The sequence below is a fragment of the Homo sapiens genome, chromosome 1, assembly GCF_000001405.40.
Source record: "Homo sapiens chromosome 1, GRCh38.p14 Primary Assembly".
In the NCBI taxonomy this organism is placed as follows: domain Eukaryota; kingdom Metazoa; phylum Chordata; class Mammalia; order Primates; family Hominidae; genus Homo; species Homo sapiens.
Genome location: NC_000001.11, coordinates 163142003 through 163162751, shown reverse-complemented (window position 1 = coordinate 163162751; position 20749 = coordinate 163142003). Strand labels below are relative to the sequence as shown.

Genomic DNA, 20749 nt, shown 5'->3' with positions numbered 1-20749 from the left:
GCTTCAGGGTTTCTGCATATATAAATGTTAAAATAGAAACAGCCTAAGGAGAAATTATATGTTGGCTATAACCTTCTCCTTTTGAGTCAGCATCTCAAGCATTTGTGTATAACATTCCTGTTCAGGATATATTAACCACTCTTTTTTTTTTTAAATTAGAAAGAGTAAATCTTTAAAAAAAAGTCTGATCCTGTTATAAGTGGGTAGGAAAAATGCGCCTACGTTTTTAACATGTAAATTTGCTATGATCACAATCCCAACATAAGGAAAGCATTATACACTCACATCTTCCACTATCCTTAATTAGACAGCTTTGGGATGTGGATGTGGAACCCCAATGCCCTCTGCTGATTCAGTTAGGTGGTTAACATGCAGTATTGGTGAGGCAGAGAACAGGAGTTCAATCTCTGTAATGGGACAACTGGATTTCATGAAGTTATATTTGGAAAAAAGACCACAGTTGGAACAACTTTCATGGGATACATAAGACTATCAAGACACAGCTTAATGTCAAACGAACTCTACTTTTAAAAAGGGAAAGACCTAACCAAAATGTTCAAAAAAGATGAAGATATGCAATAAAGATGTATGAAAGCAAACCCAGCTCATCAAACCCAATTGTTAGAGAGAAAATAACTTAAACTTCCTTGTCCTGAGGATAGACCAGCAGTCATATCATTTCCATCTAAGAGAAACAGGAAGTAGTTATTGCTGGTACATGTGGTTCAATGCCTACTTACGCCATACCCCTTTTCTCTCCTTATTATTGATGTAGAACCTCGCTGGACGAGGCCCTGCAGTGGCGTGATTCCCTGGACAAACTCCTGCAGAACAACTGTAAGTTTCCATTGTTTGTTTTTTTAAATAAAGGTCAGGTTAGAGACAGAAACAAAAAACATCTTTGTATTACCTGTGTTCTTCTTCCCCAATGTTGACATTTCTTCAATTTTTGAAGGTGATATCAATAAGGGAAGGGGGCTGCAGGTATGTGATTATCCAGTTCACAAGAAAAGGAGGGTCTGTGGCACTATGAGGGAATGTGAACATAAGGTGTTCTGAAGACTCATGATTGCAGTTGTGTTCCCATCTGTCCTGCTTACTTGCATGAGCCAGAACAAGTGGCTTGACCTCCTCAACATTCTCATCAGTAAAATAGAGAAATTACATTTCCTGACTTAGCCTCATAATAAATTGATAAAGATCAGATATAGCAGCATAAAGATCGCTAACAAGTCATGAGTAGTACATCCTGGTTCAAACTATTATACTGTCAACTGCTCTTGTGACCTGACATGGGTTGTTATCTCCCCCAGCCTCCGTTTCCTCTTCTGGCACCATGCCTTTTACATCTTAATTCAAGAAATGACAAAGGTGCTGATCAGTGCAGACTCTTTTCCAAGCTAATACCAGTGCATCAATAAGCACTAGGTGCATTTCCCCAATCCAAAATCCTTACTGATTCCCATGGCTTACAGTACCAAGTTCAAATTTCTGATGTTCAAGATCACCATAACTATATGGCCGGTCTGCAGGCAAATTGAACAGTTCTCTGTTCCATATAGGATTTCTACATATAATCCCCTTGGCTGGAATATCTTTTACTCATATCTCTCTCTCTTGAAATTCTCCCTCTCCTATAATAGATAATTCAAATAAGAAATGCCTAGTGTTCCTTGACCATCCAGAACAATTTATCCACCCTCTGAAATTCCAAAGTCATTTGTCTGCACATCTTTTATTCTACTTAATACTTGCTGCCTTATGTTCTGTTCATAGTTGGCTCACTTCTATGATAGGTTATAAACTCACAAACGGGCAAGAATTAGTCTTTTTCATGTAGATAATTTCAAAACAGGAAGTATATAGTATCGGGAAAACAAATATTTGTTGAATAATTCACTCTAAAAGTATGAGTCAATTTAAAATACCCTACCTATATTTCTCCATCTTTATAACAAGAATGGAATATGAAACTTTGTCACATGCTTTGCAAAGATAAGGATTTACAAAATATTTCTCACAAGACCATTATGATTAATGGGCACAGAGTAGATGACAAAGAATATATGTTGAATTGTATATGAACATTCCTTATGTCTTGCTTTTGGTGTCATAAGCTTCTGCTTACCTGCAATAGAATTAATCTTTTATTTTTGGAGACAGAACCCCACAGTCTCTAATTTGGAACTTTCTCTAGCTTATTCATTTCTGATTCTCTCTCTTTTTTTCTTGTGCTAAACAAAGTACCCTGCCCTGACACATGTAAGATGTTTGGTGAATAGTTATGTAGTGAATGAGTGAATGAACTAAATTCATTTTGCTTCTTGGACCTAGAAATTCCACAAGGTCAACTAGTAGAATAATATTTATGTTTATTAATGGACTTATTGTCTTGCCTTAGTGGTTTCTGGGCCAATAGCAGATTGACAGATGACCTATTGATAAATTATGAATACTAGTACTCTGAGCACAGGTATTTATTGCTATTGTCAAAAAACCTGAGAGTTAGCAGAACTATTTTCATGTTTTCAAAACCTTTAAGGAGAAGAATAAATATTTATGTGCCCATATATAATCCTTTTCAGTCACACTAAATCCTTAGGGCTACATGTCTATATATTTCAGGCTTTTAGGAGACAGAGAGCTACTAGAATAAGAAAGCTAGGGTTAGATAGAGTTAAAGAGAGTTAAGCTAGAGGCAGTTAGTGTTTGAAGGACTGAAGATTTTCAGCTTGCAAACAGATGATTACCATCGTGTTGAGATTGAGGCCCAAGAGCCTCACAGTAATATTTTCTACTTCTCAGAGGGGAAAATATACATGCACTTGTGTGTGTTCATGTATGTATGTGTGTATACACATGTATGTATGTGTATATATATAATATTCACAATATTTCATTTAACTTATATATGCATTTTGAAATTATATATGTGTATATATGTGTATGTAGTATGTATGTGTATGTATTCCTGTGTGTGTTTGCCTGTGTGTTTATATATAAGTTCCACATAATTATCTTCTTAAGTAATTAATATTTTTAAGACCTGGGCAATTAATTTCCCTAAAGCAACAAATAAGAAAGCATTTATAACTATTCTAGTCAATGCTTTCCTTGAAAGGGACACTAATCCATTCGAAGTAGCCCAACTAAAAAAGAAGGGTTATGGTATGGAGACCTCACAGAAACAAAGGCAAGCCATGCCCTCTGGGAGGCAAAGCCATCAGTAAGTGAGACAGTCTCTCCCCTCTGTTGCGGGAAGTCAGGGACCCCGAATGGAGGGATCGACTGAAGCCATGGCAGAAGAATATAAATTGTGATGATTTCATGGACATTTATTAGTTCCCCAAATTAATACTTTTATAATTTCTTACGCCTGTCTTTACTGCAATCTTTGAACATAAATTGTGAAGATTTCATGGACACTTATCACTTCCCCAATCAATACCCTTTCTTCCTATGCCTGTCTTTACTTTAATCTCTTAATCCCGTAATCTTCATAAACTGAGGAGGATGTATGTCACCTCGGGACCCTGTGATGATTGCATTAACTGCACAAATTGTTTGTAGAGCATGTGTGTTTGAACACTATGAAATCTGGGTACCTTGAAAAAAGAACAGAATAACAGCAATGTTCAGGGAACAAGGGAGACAACCTTAAACTCTGACTGCCGGTGAGCCGGGTGGAACAGAGACATATTTCTCTTCTTTCAAAAGCAAATGGGAGAAATATCGCTGAATTCTTTTTCTCAGCTAGGAACATCCCTGAGAAAGAGAATGTGTCCCTGAGGGGAGGCCTCTGAAATGGCCGCTTTGGGAACGGCTGTCTTTTATGATCGTAGTTGAGGGATGCAATAAGCCCCAGTCTCCCGTAGCGCTCCCAGGCTTATTAGGATGAGGAAATTCCTGCCTAATAAATTTTGGTCGGACCAGTTGTCTGCTCTCAAACCCTGTCTCCTGATAAGATGTTATCAATGACAATGCGTGCCCGAAACTTCATTAGCAATTTTAATTTCACCCCGGTCCTGTGGTCCTGTGGTCCTGTGATCTTGCCCTGCCTCCATTTGCCTCGTGATATTTTATTGCTTTGTGAAGCATGTGATCTCTGTGACCCACACCCTATTCATACACTCCTTCCCCTTTTGAAAATCACTAATAAAAACTTGCTGGTTTTACAGCTCAGGGGCATTATGGAACCTGCTGACAAGTGATGTCTCCCCTGGACACCAAGCTTTAAGATTTCTCTCTTTTGTACTCTGTCCCTTTATTTCTCAGACCAGCTGACACTTAGGGAAAATAGAAAAGAAGCTACGTGAAATATCGGGGGTGAATTTTGCCCGATACCCCTCTCTAATTCTCTACTCTTACCATCACTCTATTGCTCTCTTCTTCTTTATCTGTCTCTGCTTCTCCCCATGACTTGTCTTTCTCTGTGTCTCTCTTGCCACTCTGTCTTTGCCCTTTGCTTCTCTCTGTCTGGCTGTTCCTAGAGAAGAACCAGTGGAATGCCAGGCTTGCCCAGATAATTCTACTCCAACATCACTGACCTGAAGAGACAATATTTGACCTATTTTCCCAGACATCAGCTATAGAATACCATGAATAACTGTAAGCCAAACTGACAAATCAGTTCTTATGAGAAGTTCTTATTTGAATCCACAAAAACTAATAGTCTATAATCAGAAATTACCCAACATTAGCTGTGGCTGATGCAAAACAGGTAATGAAGAAAGATACATTTGGGACATATATACATCTAAAACTTCACAACTGGGGCCAAGTGTGGTGGCTCATATCTGTAATCCCAGCACTTTGGAAGGCTGCAGCAGGAGGATCGCTTGAGGCCAGGAGTTCAAGACCAGTCTGGGCAACATAAAAAGACCCCATCTCTGAAAAACAGAAAAAAGGAAGAAAGAAAATTAGCCAGGTGTGAGGCAGGACGATGGCTTGAGCCCAGCATAGTACCACTGCTCTCTAGCCTGGGCCACAGAGAGAGACCCTGTTGCTATAAAAACAAATCAAGACAAACCACCATCTCTTTTTGCATGTTTGATTTGATAAATTTAAACCATTTAACCTTGAGGAGTAGCATCTTTGTCAATTTATAAGGGAAATTTGGCATTGTTATGTTAATGTAGGATATTGACTTTCACAGTTGATGTGTTAAATAGTTCCCCAAGAATTCCTTACATTCATATCTTTAATTTTTATTGAGTGGCAATGAAGTTAATTGGTACCAAGCTTCTAAAAAATATAAGACAGTTAAGTTGCTACTCAGTCTCTTCTAACAAGGTTCTTCTCACTTTCCTTCATTTTTAAAATAATTTTTAATCATCCAGTATATGTGACTGTGTTCTGAAAGTATATCAACTTCCTACATGTTTTGCCTTCAATTCTTTAGGTGGCACCATCTGTTTTCATTTCATAGGCACGTTGGGCGTATAAACAGTGTGTTGTTCTTCAAACACAAAAATAGAATTCACATGGGAGTTTAAATAAGAGTGACATTTAATAGTTCCCCACAACCATTTTTAAGAGCAGAGAAGAATGAAACAAGCCAGAAGCAGCAAAGTTTTTATGTGGATCTCCCTTCCCTAGGAGTTTCAGAAGGCCAGAGCATCTCCTTGAGACACCCTTGTGATTTAGATTTGTCCATGGGAAATGAAGGAGCCTGAATCCAGACACATCTTTTTGTTTCTATCTTTGCACTCCCCTTTTGCTTCTTTCTCTTTGGTTTTCTTCCTTCTCTTTTCTGGCTCATTTTTGTCATCATCTTCCTCACAGGCAACCATAATTTCCTTGAAAATAATTATTATAATAATAAAAGCAATAGCTAACACTTATTACTCATCATGTGCCAAGCACTGTTCTAAGCACTTTGCATATGTTAATTTAATGATTGCAATAATTTTAGGACTTGAGTGCCATCACAATCCCTAGTTTTCAGAAAATGAAATTGAGATTAAGGGGAATTAGGTAACTTGCCCATGAAATAAAATGCTATAACAGCAGCAAAATCCATAATTAATTTTTTTAAAGTTAGTGTTCTTTGATTCTGTCACTTGGAAGGAAATGCTTCCCTGAATGTGTCTTATTTCTGCGGGAACCTCTATTAAATGTTAGGTGCACAGATTTAGACTGGGAGGTGGGATGCAAAAGAGAGGCAAACAGGTGAAACATACTCAAAGAATTAACAGCCTAATGGAAAAGATATAGAAGCAAACAATCCCAACAAAAGAACAGAAAGTGACTGCTTCTCTCATAATGATAAAAATCTTCAAGAGCAAGTCGATGGTAGTAAGTAAAGGCTACCTCACAGATGAGGCAACATTGGAGTTGGGCTTTGAATTAATTAAAAGATTAATTTTAAATTTGTAATGAATAACAATAATGAACACCAACATGTATTGAGCTACATAATAATAATTATGTCAGGTACCATGTAAGAATTTTATATGAATTATTTATTTCTTAGCACAACCCCATCAGATAAGTTCCATTAGTATCTCCATTGAACAGATGATGCAACAGTCTCAGAGAGATTTGATGACTTGCTCAAGTTATTGCAGTAATATAATTTTTAACCAATAAGCTAGAAATGGTGCTTATCAACTATCAATGACTTCATTTTTATCCCCCCTGGTTGAAGAGATTTGCACTAATCTAGTTTTTAATAATTTTTCCTTTGTAGCAAACTGACTTGGATTTGTCTAATGCTCCTTTAATTTTCAAAGTGATTTTATAGGTGTTTTCATCTTGTTCTTAGGTAGGGCTGGCTGCTAGTTTACATGGATGTCAAAAGTGACACCATTCATTAGGGCGAACTCTGGAATTGTAATGTAGATTACAACCTGGAGTGTTTCCATAAGACCAGATAATCAGGTGGGTTTCATTGGCTTTCTAGAGAGTGGATGCCTGGCGAGGTGGGTTGAGAGGTACTCCGACGCTCTGTGCAGGCTCAGCAGGGAAGAATGTGGTGATTTGTCAGGGAGGTGTGCTGAGGCTCTACTGGAGTGGGTAGAGGAATGGTTGTAGGGCAAAGAAGAAATGTGTGTTCTTTGCAGAATAGAGACATTTGGCCTGGATTGTGTTTGACTCTGACCCAATAGGTTGTCCGCAGGGGTGATAGGAACTAAACAGAGATAGTGGCTGAGGAAGGAACTGACAGACAACCAGAGGCTAAAGAGGAGAAGCAGTCTCAGGGGTCACTTTAGAGGGACCCTCTAGAGAGTGCCCAAAAGCCAGGTGCACAGATTTAGAGAAGGAATAGCTTTACACATCTTGCAGACGAATACAATATAAAGCTATTTTATGAGTTATACATGAACAAAAAGGTTAAAAGAATATTGTGGAATTCAATGAAAGTTACAAAATTAGTATCCAGGAAATGGACTTGCTGCACAGAAAAGTTATTTTGCAAGCTTATTCCCTGGAAAGTCAGTAAATGTGAATATTTCTGTGGAATCCCGGCATACATCCCCGTGTCATAAATAAGAATGTTTGGGAGGACTGAGATTTTGTCCCTATGCTTTCCAAAGATGCAGAATGGGTGATTCAGAGATAGGTTGTGGGGATATGGGGCTAATTAGAATAAATTTGTCACAGACTTATTCTGTGGAATTATTTTTGCCTCCAGCCGTCTTAGACCTTATTGTGTGGGAGCTCATAAGACTTCATTTCCTGGAAGCTAAAACATGCCTGAGAATGTTTTCATTTTGACAGAGACTATCTGACACCTTTTGTTTAAGAAACAATGGACATATACATAGTTTTATATACATATACATATATACATATACATAGTTTTATAATTTTAGTCTTATAGTTTTAGTTTACAATTAAAAACTATATCTATATATAATAGGCTATATCTATATCTATATAGACTAAAATATCTATATATTATATATAGATATAATTTTTAAATTATAAACTAAATTGGTTAAAATGGACGTTTTAACCATGACACAGAGAGAAATAAGTTTTATATTTTTCTTTTAGCACTTATGCTAACTCTCGTGTCACTAAGTTAAGACAAATAGTGCTGGAAATATAGTAGGAAATATTAGAAGAGAGAGAAAATACACCTGATTTTATCCAGTTACAGGTTATCAAATGGTTTTAAAGTAATTCTTCTGGCCAAGTTTCTAGAAAAAATTGGTTTTTTTTTCCTTGTTTTCCTTTTCCCTTCTTTTCACAAGTGTTGAAAATTGTTTATTATACCTACCATTGCTCCTAGATATATTTTTATTGTTAATCAATTAAAAATGTATTTAGGGTAAGTACAGGAAGAAGGGATCAAATTACAAAGTGTCTTTCTTGGATCCTGAAATTGATGGTGACCCTAACACAAGTTAACGATCATCCTAGCCATTCTTTTTCTTTAAAATTGGGTATGGTTTCAGGGTACTGTGAAGGGTATGAGAAGAGTAAAAATATACAGGAGGTAAATTGAAAATGGATAACTATATATAGCGTCTTTGTTTTTATCATTGCATACGTTTTATGCTTGTGTGAAATCAACGTATTGGCAATGACTAATAAATAAAACTTTAGAGCCTATAAAAAGAATAGGTAAAAGGAATAAATGAAAATTAGGCCAAAGGAAATGAATTCAGAACGTAAATATGATCCCTAAGCAGAACTAATGTATTGCAGAAGTGTTTCCAGGTGGGGGCAAATTAGAGAAAACTGGACCCTAAAGTACTGGTGACAATAATCCTTCCTTCTGCCCTGGGGGGCAAAGTGACATTCGAAACATGTTACTGAGGGTAGGTCTGTGATTTTGACACAGCTTCTGGAAAATTAGAGTTTTTCTCTCTCCTCCTGTTTGAAATCTTTATTTTTCTTAGATAATAAATGAACATGAATTCTCTCCCTATAGCCATACATTGTTTAGAATTTTGGTTTATATATATATATGTGTGTAATATATGTTGAATAATACATATATATTCAGCATTAAGGAGAAGGAAAATATTGGATCAGGCCCAAGAATCCTTACATATACATAGTTTTATAATTTTAGTCTTATAGTTTTAGTTTACAATTAAAGACTATATCTATATATAATAGGCTATATCTATATCTATATAGACTAAAATATCTACATATTATATATAGATATAATTTTTAAATTATAAACTAAAGTTTATCCTACATGAGCAATTGTACACTGGAAACAGAATCATAATAGCTATAATCATATTGCATTTAACATGTTAAAGAAACCTGATGTATAATTGATGGACATGGTAAGTACGCTACATGGGGTAACTTCATCTGGCCCTTTCCCACTCATCCTTTGGGTCTCAAATTGAATGTTACTTCCTTGCCTTCCCTTAGCCTAAAATGAAGTCAGGACTCTCCTATGACTCTGTTACTACCTTTCATACAGTTTTCCTTTCATCGTGTAAATGTTTCTTCTGTTTCTTCATTTTCTTTCTACTTTTTCCAGAATCTATAAGCTCCATTAGGACAGGAACCATGTCTATTTTACTTATCGTGGTGACTTAAATCATAGTGCTTGGGACATAATAGTTAAACAAAAATCATCTGTACAAAGAGAAAATAAAGAATTGTGAGTAGTTCATAGTGATACTTAACATTAACATTACTTGCATAGACAAGCCAAGTTTTAAATGTATTATTTTCTCCTTGGTAGTTTAAGTGTCCAGAATGGCATTAGTGTTAATAGTGTTCCTTGATACGTAAATAGGTAAACGTTTGTCACTTAAATAGACATTGCATTTGATTGTTTGGAAAGACAATGTGGTAAATCTCTGTCTAGTTCTAGAGTTCCATACAGCTCTGCATGATGAGCAGGGCTTGAGCTCTGTGTTCTCTGCTGTCTATCTTCCATCTCTGTCTCATTCCTTCTGCATTTGAATGAAGGAGTAAAGGAAGCTAGACATGAATGAGCTAAAACTTTGTGCATAGAAGAGTATTGCTAAGCCCTTTCCCTTTCTCTCATGGATACAATATTTGTTAAGTAAATTAATAAATTTCTCCAGCTGACTGTTTTTTTCTTTCCAGATGGACTTGCCAGTTTCAAAAGTTTCCTGAAGTCTGAATTCAGTGAGGAAAACCTTGAGTTCTGGATTGCCTGTGAGGATTACAAGAAGATCAAGTCCCCTGCCAAGATGGCTGAGAAGGCAAAGCAAATTTATGAAGAATTCATTCAAACGGAGGCTCCTAAAGAGGTTGGTCTCTGGGTAGGTGGGTCAGTTAAGGGCAGCTCATTAGCTCTCAGGAAGGATTTACATCTGAGACACAGACCTCCCGTTGGGAGCCAAAGGCTATTCCTATTTGTGAGTCGACCACCTTATTAAGCACCTATTGAGTACAAAGGCAGAGCAACATGGTCAAGTATATATGAACAATCCTGTTCAGACCGCTTTCTAGTTTTATGGGTCTCACCTCCACTAACCTCCAGTGGAGATCATACCAATGTGAAATCTTGCATGAATTGTTGAGTCTCTGTGAACCTCATTTCTTCCTTTGTGAAAATAAGAATAATGGAGACTACTTTATGGAGATGTTGTGAGGATTAAATTAAATAGTGGGTGTAAAAACTTATACAGGTTGAACATCTCTGATCTGAAAATTCAAAATTCAGAATGCCTCAAAGTCTGAAACTTTTTCAGCACCATGATGCCACAAGTGGAAAATTCCACTGACCTCTTGTGATAGGTCTCAGTCAAAATACAGCCAAAACTTTTTTCATGCCCAAAATTATTAAAAATATTACATAAAATTACCTTCATGTTATATGTATAGGTATATATGACACATAAATGAACTTTGTGTTTAGACTTGGGTCTCATATTAAGATATCTTATCTCATTATGTATATGTAAATATTTCAAAATCTCAAAAAATTCAAGATCTGAAACATTTCTGGTCCCAAGCATTCCAGATAAGTGATGTTCAACCAGTGTATTATTCCTTTCTCTCACTGCTATGAAGAAATACCAAAGACTTGGTAATTTATAAAGGAAAGAGGTTTAATTGACTCACAGTTCCGCATGGATGGGGAGACCTCAGGAAACTTACAATCCAGACAGAAGGCACCTCTTCACAGGGTGGCAGGAGAGAGAATAAAAGTGGAGTGAAGGGGGAAGCCCCTTATAAAACCATCAGATCTCGTGAGAACTCACTATCACAAGAACAGTATAAGGGAAACTGCCCCCATGATTCAATTATTGCCACCTGGTCCTGCCCTTGACATGTGGGAATTATTATGATTTAAGGTGAGATTTGGGTGGGGACACAGAGCCAAACTATATCAACCAGTATCTCAGTGTCCGAACTGATTAATGCCTAATGAGTATTTCTATAACTTTTCTTTGTTTTTCTTTCCATTCCCATTTCTAGTCTTTCCTTTAAACACCTCTCTTTTTTTGTCCTTTCTACTCTTCTTTATCCTTTATTTCCCCACTTGGACTTTTCCATTTACACTGTACTTGGGACAATGGTATATTTACTCATGAAAATCAAAATATTACAAGAAAACAGTGTTAGAGATGTTGAAAGCCAATATACCACTGATTGACTATTAAAGCCCAGATTTTTGTTGATTTCAAAGAAACTTTGGGGAAGTTGATCTGCTTTTTTCTTTGTTATTTATAAAACCACATTGAAAGCCTATTGTGGAATTCAGGATGGCCACAGCAAGCCCTGTTCATCATGGTATGGTCAGGTTACTCTAATTTCACTTGTTTCTTTTAATCCAGTCTGGAAAGTAAATGTTTCATCAAGGTTTGGAGTCAAGCACGGAGGTGATCTGGGCAAGCCTTGTTGAGTAGGCAGAAATCTACTTAAGATGTTTGAGAGAGAAAAACTCCCAAATATCCCTTCTCTACCACAGATGCTCTAGACTCCTGGAGTTCCACCATTAGATATGTATTTCTTTAGTTATGAGTTACCCTAAATGTGTTTGAGTGGATGGACAAATTATGTACCTTGATACTAGTAGATGTGCTTCCTCCATGACACAGGGTTGGAGGTTAGGAGTATGAGAATGTACAGTACTGTGGGTCAAAGCCACGAAAATGAAAAGGTGCTAGAAAGAATCTAGATTTAAGTTTGATGTGGATATTAATCTTGAAATTCTCTCCAGATCACCCCTTCTTCTCCTCAACCTCCACCCTAAGCACATATGTTAGCTCTACCCTACTTCTGTTACCATTTGTGCTGGGCCATCCTTTCTTCTGTCAGCATGTTATTTCTCTGTATATATTGACAAGAAGATTAATTTAACATTAAATTGGACATGTATTTCCCCATTTCAAAGGATTCTCCGACTTACCTTCCTATCAACTTGACTTCCTCTTCACAGAATTCTAAGATTTGCTGAAATACCTACAAATAGTAGAAACCCACTCAGATAATTGTTAGTTACTCTGAGCTCTGGGAAAACATTATTGGTTATTATGAAAATATGAGACATTAACCTAAAATATAATTTTAAAATAAACAATACCATGGCTAGCTGAGTTATAGGGACAAATAAATTGTGGTCACTAGTTGAAAGACTGTAATTAAAATAGCCTTGCCCTTCATTCTAAATGATCTATGCTTATGCAAGAGTACAATAGTATACATTAGACCCAAATACAGGCATCCCAGGATTATGTAGAATAATGATCCTGAGCTGGGTATTAGAGAGAATGTGAATCCTACTCCTAGCACATAAAAAGCTTTCAAGAAATATTTTTGAGATGAAAGCATGAAAATATCCAACTTCAGACATTCTTAGATGTGGGACTTTGGGCAAGTCTCTAGCTAAAGCTCTCTAATCCTCAGTTCTTTTAACTGTAACCATCTTGTGTATATGTATGTGCACCTGAAGTATGTTAAGTCATAGCTTTTATTACTTAAAAAATTCTCCAACTTTTGTATTTTGATGTAAATATTTACTATTTAATTTTGATGAAATTGACCTATATAAGACCTAGATTACCCAGGCAAATAGTAATCTGAATTTTGTTGCTCTGAATACTCACCTCAACTCTTTAATACAAGAAACTGACTGAGAGATACAATGGTAAAAATTGGAATTAAATTTAAACAAGAGAAATGGCCATGTGGAAGTCAATAAGTAGATAATTTATACATTGCAAATTATCATTTGACCATATTTGAAATTAATGAAATGATATTGTTTCTGGATAACTAAACAGATAAATATGTATCAGAATGACTTATTAAAGAAGGCTTAAGCACATAAAAATACCAAGAGAAATAGCTGCTATTTGCTGGTGGATACTATGTCCTAGAGGGTTTTAAATACATCACTCCTTTAAAAAATAAGATTAGGAGCTACTTTTATAATTTTTAGAAACTCAATCATTTGGAATAAGCCTGTCTACCAAGCTCAGTACAGATATATACTTAATATAAGAGAAGGAAGAAGCATTGCTTTCAGTGTGGCGGGAAGAATAATAGACTGAGAATGGAGAAATCTATGTTATAGTCTCACCTCTAATCCACACTAGCTGTTTGTGGGCATGTAACCTGACCTCTCTGAGGTCTTCACATTTAAAGGCAGACATTGGACTTCATCAACTCTGACGCTGATCCCAATTCTGACAATCTGATCTTCCAACAGGCCTGCATAAAGTACATTGACCCCTTTCACCTCTGGAAAATCTTAATGTAGCTCAACGCCCTTCATCCTAGACTTTGAAGCACAGCTCAGTCCTGCTGTCTGTTCTGACCTGGCTCCCCAGGGAATCATGCATTTTGTCTCCAACTCTAACTAATAGCTGCTTCATAATTCTCTGAGCCCAAAGAGCTCTATTCAGTACCAAAAACCTCTAACAGCCCAGGAGAGACCCAAAACCTTTATCAGTGTTTCAATTCACAACCATAGGCTGATTTGGATTCTATTTCTGTCTTGTTTACACTCAAAATCCTTAAAAACCATTAAATCGTACAACATGGAGTATAAAGATTCCTTTAAACTCATAGTCAGCCAAGTTCAAATAGGCTGTACCTTGTACAACTCCAGAGGAACCATTCACGTAGACCCTAGTATGGTTGCAATGTAGTGGCCCTGCACTCAGGACATGTAAGCCACAGTGCATCCCAGTGCTGGAGTCTACTGGTTAAAAGGCTGGGCTCTGGAGCCACATCACTGGATTTCTGAATCTTCTCTCTACCATTAATGAACTTTGAGTAAATCATGTAACATTTCTGTGCATCTGTTTCCTCAACTGTAAAATGTAGACAACAGCATCTATTATACCTCATAGAGTTATAAGATTAAATGAGTTCATCCGTGCAAAGTGCCTGGCACCGACCGAGCACTCAATAAATGTTAATTGCTGTTAGCTGTTTTCATTATTATTCTGTCAGAATGACTGTTTCCTGGTTTGTTTTTGGAAAGAACAAGTTTTCTTGTTCTTCTGGAGCCATGCAAAAGGTCCTGGATCCCCAGACAGAATTTACTTCTCTCTGTTCAATTCCTCCAATAGACGTGAAACCAAATGTTGTGTTAGAATTTTAAAATTAGGCACCAGGGCCGGACGCGGTGGCTCACACCTGTAATCCCAGCACTTTGGGAGGCCGAGGCAGGCAGATCACCTGAGGTCAGGAGTTCGAGACCAGCCTCACCAATGTGGCAAAACCCCGTCTCTATCAAAAGTACAAAAATTAGCCCGGCGTGGTGGCACATGCCTGTAACCCAGCTAGTTGGGAGGCTCGGGCAGAAGAATCACTTGAACCCGGAAGGCAGAGGTTGCAGTGAACCAAATGGCGCCACTGCACTCCAGCCTGCCTGAGTGACAGAACTAGACTCTATCCAACAAAAAAAAAAAAAAAAAAAAAAGAAAAAGAAAAAAGCACCAGGACACCTGGATTCAAATTCTGATTCTCTAGATTCAAATACACTTATCAGTTCTGTGATCTTGGGGAAGCCACTTAACCTTCTGCATATAATATTTTTTTCTATAAAAGGAAAGAATCATTCTTAGGATTGTTGTCAAGGATTAAATAAGTAATGTGTGTGTTAGCTTCTATGGGAGGTCTGACACCTGGTGGGTGTCTAATACCGGTTGGATGCATCTGTTGGAACATCAGCTGCCTTATCCCATCGCCTATAAAGTGAGAAGTGACATGTCTCAGTTTTTAATGACTTTCCTCCCCTCTTATGTTTTATTGATGAGAAATTCCACCTCCCTCTTCACCCCTCATCAAATTCTATAACTTAGGCTTATGTAGTGACCCTGTTTCCTGGCCCACAGGTGAATATTGACCACTTCACTAAGGACATCACAATGAAGAACCTGGTGGAACCTTCCCTGAGCAGCTTTGACATGGCCCAGAAAAGAATCCATGCCCTGATGGAAAAGGATTCTCTGCCTCGCTTTGTGCGCTCTGAGTTTTATCAGGAGTTAATCAAGTAGTAATTTAGCCAGGCTATGAAATCATCCTGTGAGTTATTTCCTCCATAATAACCCTGCATTTCCCATTAATCTACATATCTTCCCACAGCAGCTTTGCTCAGTGATACCCACATGGGAAAAATCCCAGGGGATGTTGCTTACTCTTTTTGCCCACACTGCTTTGGATACTTATCTACTGTCCGAAGGCCTTCTTTCCCCACTCAATTCTTCCTGCCCTGTTATTAATTAAGATATCTTCAGCTTGTAGTCAGACACAATCAGAATCACAGAAAAATCCTGCCTAAGGCAAAGAAATATAAGACAAGACTATGATATCAATGAATGTGGGTTAAGTAATAGATTTCCAGCTAAATTGGTCTAAAAAAGAATATTAAGTGTGGACAGACCTATTTCAAAGGAGCTTAATTGATCTCACTTGTTTTAGTTCTGATCCAGGGAGATCACCCCTCTAATTATTTCTGAACTTGGTTAATAAAAGTTTATAAGATTTTTATGAAGCAGCCACTGTATGATATTTTAAGCAAATATGTTATTTAAAATATTGATCCTTCCCTTGGACCACCTTCATGTTAGTTGGGTATTATAAATAAGAGATACAACCATGAATATATTATGTTTATACAAAATCAATCTGAACACAATTCATAAAGATTTCTCTTTTATACCTTCCTCACTGGCCCCCTCCACCTGCCCATAGTCACCAAATTCTGTTTTAAATCAATGACCTAAGATCAACAATGAAGTATTTTATAAATGTATTTATGCTGCTAGACTGTGGGTCAAATGTTTCCATTTTCAAATTATTTAGAATTCTTATGAGTTTAAAATTTGTAAATTTCTAAATCCAATCATGTAAAATGAAACTGTTGCTCCATTGGAGTAGTCTCCCACCTAAATATCAAGATGGCTATATGCTAAAAAGAGAAAATATGGTCAAGTCTAAAATGGCTAATTGTCCTATGATGCTATTATCATAGACTAATGACATTTATCTTCAAAACACCAAATTGTCTTTAGAAAAATTAATGTGATTACAGGTAGAGGCCTTCTAGGTGAGACACTTTTAAGGTACACTGCATTTTGCAAAAAAAAAAAAAAAAAGTAATCTTTTAGCAACCCCAGTATTCCTTCACTATTTCGCTTCCTGCATTAGCAAATTTTACTTACAGTCAAAAGTGCAGATTTATACTCCTGACGTGTCTCATTCACAGCTAAATAATAGGCCATAGGACTTTTGGTAGGTTTAAACTTTTAATTCTGTATTTCATGATTATAAGTCTTGCTAGAATTTTTTCTAATCTTTAGTAGATTTGATTAAATAATGATTCACAGAATTTAGTAACAGAATCAAACTAAGCCATGTATGAGGGTAATCGAGATGAGGATATTAACTCAAAAGAAATAGGGTGATTTTTAAAGGATTAATAAAATTCTGAAATGTTAAGTAGAAGATTACATTGTCTAGTCTTGTATTTCCTCCTTCTGTTGCTCTCTTTCATTCACACACTCTCAGTTTCTCATATTTGTAGCTCATTTATTTGGTTATTTCCTAAGAATATTGAAAGTGAAGCAACTATGTGACTGTATTCTTCAGGTAAACACTGACTGCGCTTGTTGGATTTTCCCTATTTTTGTGACTTCAAGAATAATATGCCCTGCTGAATACATGCCATTTCACATTCTGAAACTGGGTAGAGTGGTTGGGTGTTCTGCCAACAATTGCTAGTGGTGTGAATTCATTCATATTTGCCAGTATTGCTCACTTCAAAGAAACTCCTTCATCAAGCAGTCCAGAGCTAGGCCAGATCAATGCTACAATCATGAAGTTCTCATTGCATGCAATTGTGTAGGATTGACAAGGAACTCAGATAAAAATTTCCAGGGTGCACTTCCAGAACCAGCTTCAACATATGTCTACATTGCCCCCAAGTTAATAAAGTGCCAACCCTTTACTCTCTCATACAGCCAGAAATGTTAGAAATCCAAAATCTTGGTGCATTATTTTTTCATAAACGCTAAAACATTTGAAGAAACAATTTAATTATTTAAAATTCAAGTATTTTATTCACATTATTTGCAATATCCAAATGTTTAAAAATTCCCAGATAATTAACTAGCTATTACAGATCTCACCTAGAGGGTTGATGTTATGAAGACTCCAGTGGACTGTACTCACAAATTGACTGGACACCCTATGAAAGTGGGTAGACCTCTCAGCGGAAAATAAGAAGGGCTTTTACCTACAGGGCAGGACAGGGTCCCATGAGAGCAGTTCTGTGGAGATATAAAAAGAATGGAAGAAGGAATGCCTTATAGTGATATTGTGACATTATATCTATATATCTACATATATCTATCTATCTATATCTACATCTATATAATCTTACATTTAAAATTGTATTCCTACACATATTAGAAACTCTTCTAATAAATGAAGTAAAAAAATTAAAAAGAATACAAATATTCCAGCCCCAAATGAGAAATCAAACATATTAAAATTGTTCAAGAAAATTTCTTTGAACACTTCTGAAAGTTTTTGGAAACTTAGAAAAGAGGGAAAAAAATCCAGTGTTACTAGTAATTTCCATGGTAATACAGATAAAATACATTCTTTTAATTCTGGGAAATTAGAAAAAGTGGGGTGATCTTTCCAGGAAAAACATGTGTAACATCTGCTTATCACTCCAGCTCCCTCCTCCTCCTCCTCTCCACGTTCCCTTGAGTAAATGTCTGGGAAAGCATGAAGCTTGATGCAAGAACCCTGTTGTACTGGCGTTTTCCTCCCCTGTGAAAACGTAACTACTGTTGGGAGTGAATTGAGGATGTAGAAAGGTGGTGGAACCAAATTGTGGTCAATGGAAATAGGAGAATATGGTTCTCACTCTTGAGAAAAAAACCTAAGATTAGCCCAGGTAGTTGCCTGTAACTTCAGTTTTTCTGCCTGGGTTTGATATAGTTTAGGGTTGGGGTTAGATTAAGATCTAAATTACATCAGGACAAAGAGACAGACTATTAACTCCACAGTTAATTAAGGACGTATGTTCCATGTTTATTTGTTAAAGCAGTGTGAATAGCCTTCAAGCATGTGAATAATCTTCCATCTTCCCCGCCACACATACACACACACACTTTTTGTTTCTTTCAGGTAGACACCTTTTAAAATGCAGAACTAACTGAGGCATTTCAGTAACTTTGCTTTCAAATCAATAAAGTCAAATGTATGGAAACATTTTGTGCCCTACTCTCCATACCCCGTGTACTCAAATTCTCTACTGTATGAATTATGCTTTAAGTAGAATTCAGTGCCAAGGAGAACTTGGTGAAATAAATTATTTTAATTTTTTTTTTATCCTTTACAAAGCCATGGATTTTATTTGGTTGATGTGTGCTCTGTACACAAGCCATTTCAATAGGATGGAGCTGTTAATTATTTTCCAAAGAGTAATAGACATGCAAAAGTTTCAATAAAAACTGGGCCATTAACAAATAAATTAATAAACTAATAAGCATTCCCTTCTAGGTTTTTGCCAAACTGCCTATCCAATAACAAATTTGAGAATCGTTGTAAAAGCTAGTTATATTTCAGAGAAATGATTTTCATTATTGAAACTGTTCTCCCTAGCAGGCCATTTTCCCTTTTTCCTGGGAGTTTAGCAAGTTTAGGAGAGAATAGTCATGAAAAGAAAGGGAAGAAAGGGGAGAAGGGAAGAGGTTAAAAAGTAAGTGCTCAGACCTATGAACGTAATCCCTTTGCTACAAATATTTAAGAGCAGCTCAGCTTGGTTGAAACTGAGTTTTGTCATCTTCCATATTTGCAGGAAGGTATTTTCTGACTTGCAATGCAGCTAGATGTAAAATTTTATTTTATCATCCTAGAAAGCCTTGACTAGAAAAATGAATAAATATTGAGGGTTTCCTGTCCATATCTGGCTTGCATGTGCCAGAAAGCAGAGAATAGAAAATGTAATCTCCAACATCCAAGCATCGAAACCCAAGGGGTAGGCAATTCTATGTAGGTTTTGGACATGAAGTTTGGTGCATCTTGGTTTATGCTGGCTCAACTGCTATTAAACCTCTCTGGCTTATAGTCTCTTCATTCTATTAGACAAGCACGTATCGAACACTTGCTTCGCACAAGGCTCTTTAGTTAACAATTTAGCAGCTACTGTTTGTGTTAAACACACTTTTCACCAAATAGGTTCTGAGGCAAACGAGAGCAATGACTATTTAAAGAAAGGCTTTCCCAGCATCACTTACACATCCCAAAACTAAAAAGATCAACTCTTCCAACTGAGAAAAGACTCCTGGCTTTGAATGGAAACTTACAGCAGAGAGTCACAGGCCACGGCAACAACAACGACAACAACAAACATTTGGAATATTATTCTCAACTCACGTTTTAATAATACATCTTATTATTTTTCTAGTAGAGAAACTACAAATCAGCCTCTTCAACATTTATATACAGTTTAATAAGCCTCTTGCAAGTTACTTGTTCTCTCACCTGAGGTATTTTTTTCCTCCCCACCTTGCCCCTGTTCCTCCCTTCCTCTTCTCCCTTTGCAAGAGGAAATATTTAACATATTTGGGTCCAACTTCAATAATGTAATAATTAATACATTAAAAGCATTTAACTTCCTTTCTAGAAAAATGCACAGGCTAAGGCATAGACAAAACAAAGAGAAATGCTGAGAAATTTGCCACTGGAGACAAGCAATCTGAATAAATATTTGCCAAAAGTTCTTTTTATGTCATATAGTGTCAGGATTTGAAGGAGCTATTTTTTTTTAATGTTGCAACTAGCAACTCATCTTCGGAAGACACAGCCAGGAGAATGAAGTAGAAGTGAAAGGTTTATAAATCCATTTGTAAGCATTTATCCCATATATTTTAAATTCAAGAAAAATTGTGTTTATCTTTAGAATTTTGTATTCAATACTTTATGTACTATGTGACTCATGCTTCTGGATAAATAAAGCACCAAATATGTATCTGTAACCACAATCACACATATTATATTAAATATATATCTATATAACAGCCTCATATGAGTCCTCCTTGACTCCCAAGTATTTTCTATATGAAATATTCTTCCTTAAGATAGGCTTGTTCTTTCACCATGCTTCTTACACCAGGTGCGCTCTTGATCAATTGGGAGGATGCTTACTAATAAAGGACAACTATAATACAGCCTGACATGCAAAACTCAGGGAAATACAAAGTGCCCCATTTTCATAAACTCTGTTGACTACTTTCCCTTGGATTCAGGTGACAATAATTTATTGACTCAGCTGCCATCACTGTTAGAAACTGACTGAACATATATCATTTGGATCCTG

General features: G+C 36.6%; 1 protein-coding gene and 1 long non-coding RNA gene across 13 annotated transcripts in view; one reads left to right on the top strand and one right to left on the bottom strand.

Annotated features, from left to right (window-relative positions):
- Positions 1–1077, bottom strand: part of RGS5-AS1 (RGS5 antisense RNA 1) — a 51349-nt gene extending 50272 nt beyond the window's left edge. The window contains exon 1 of the long non-coding RNA NR_110699.1: positions 911–1077. This is a non-coding gene — a long non-coding RNA (RGS5 antisense RNA 1). The remainder of the gene's footprint in view (positions 1–910) is intronic.
- RGS5 (regulator of G protein signaling 5) overlaps positions 1–20453 on the top strand; it is a 179437-nt gene extending 158984 nt beyond the window's left edge. For 10 of the 12 annotated variants that reach the window (NM_001254748.2, NM_001414472.1, NM_001414477.1 and 7 more), the window contains 3 exons: positions 776–837; positions 10036–10202; positions 15249–20453. In NM_001254748.2, coding sequence (NP_001241677.1) covers positions 10143–10202; positions 15249–15410 — 222 coding nt within the window. In that variant the 5' untranslated portion in view covers positions 776–837; positions 10036–10142 and the 3' untranslated portion in view covers positions 15411–20453. Of the gene's footprint in view, positions 1–775; positions 838–10035; positions 10215–15248 lie in introns of all 12 variants that reach the window. The other 2 variants (NM_001254749.2, NM_001195303.3) reach the window with 2 other exon arrangements.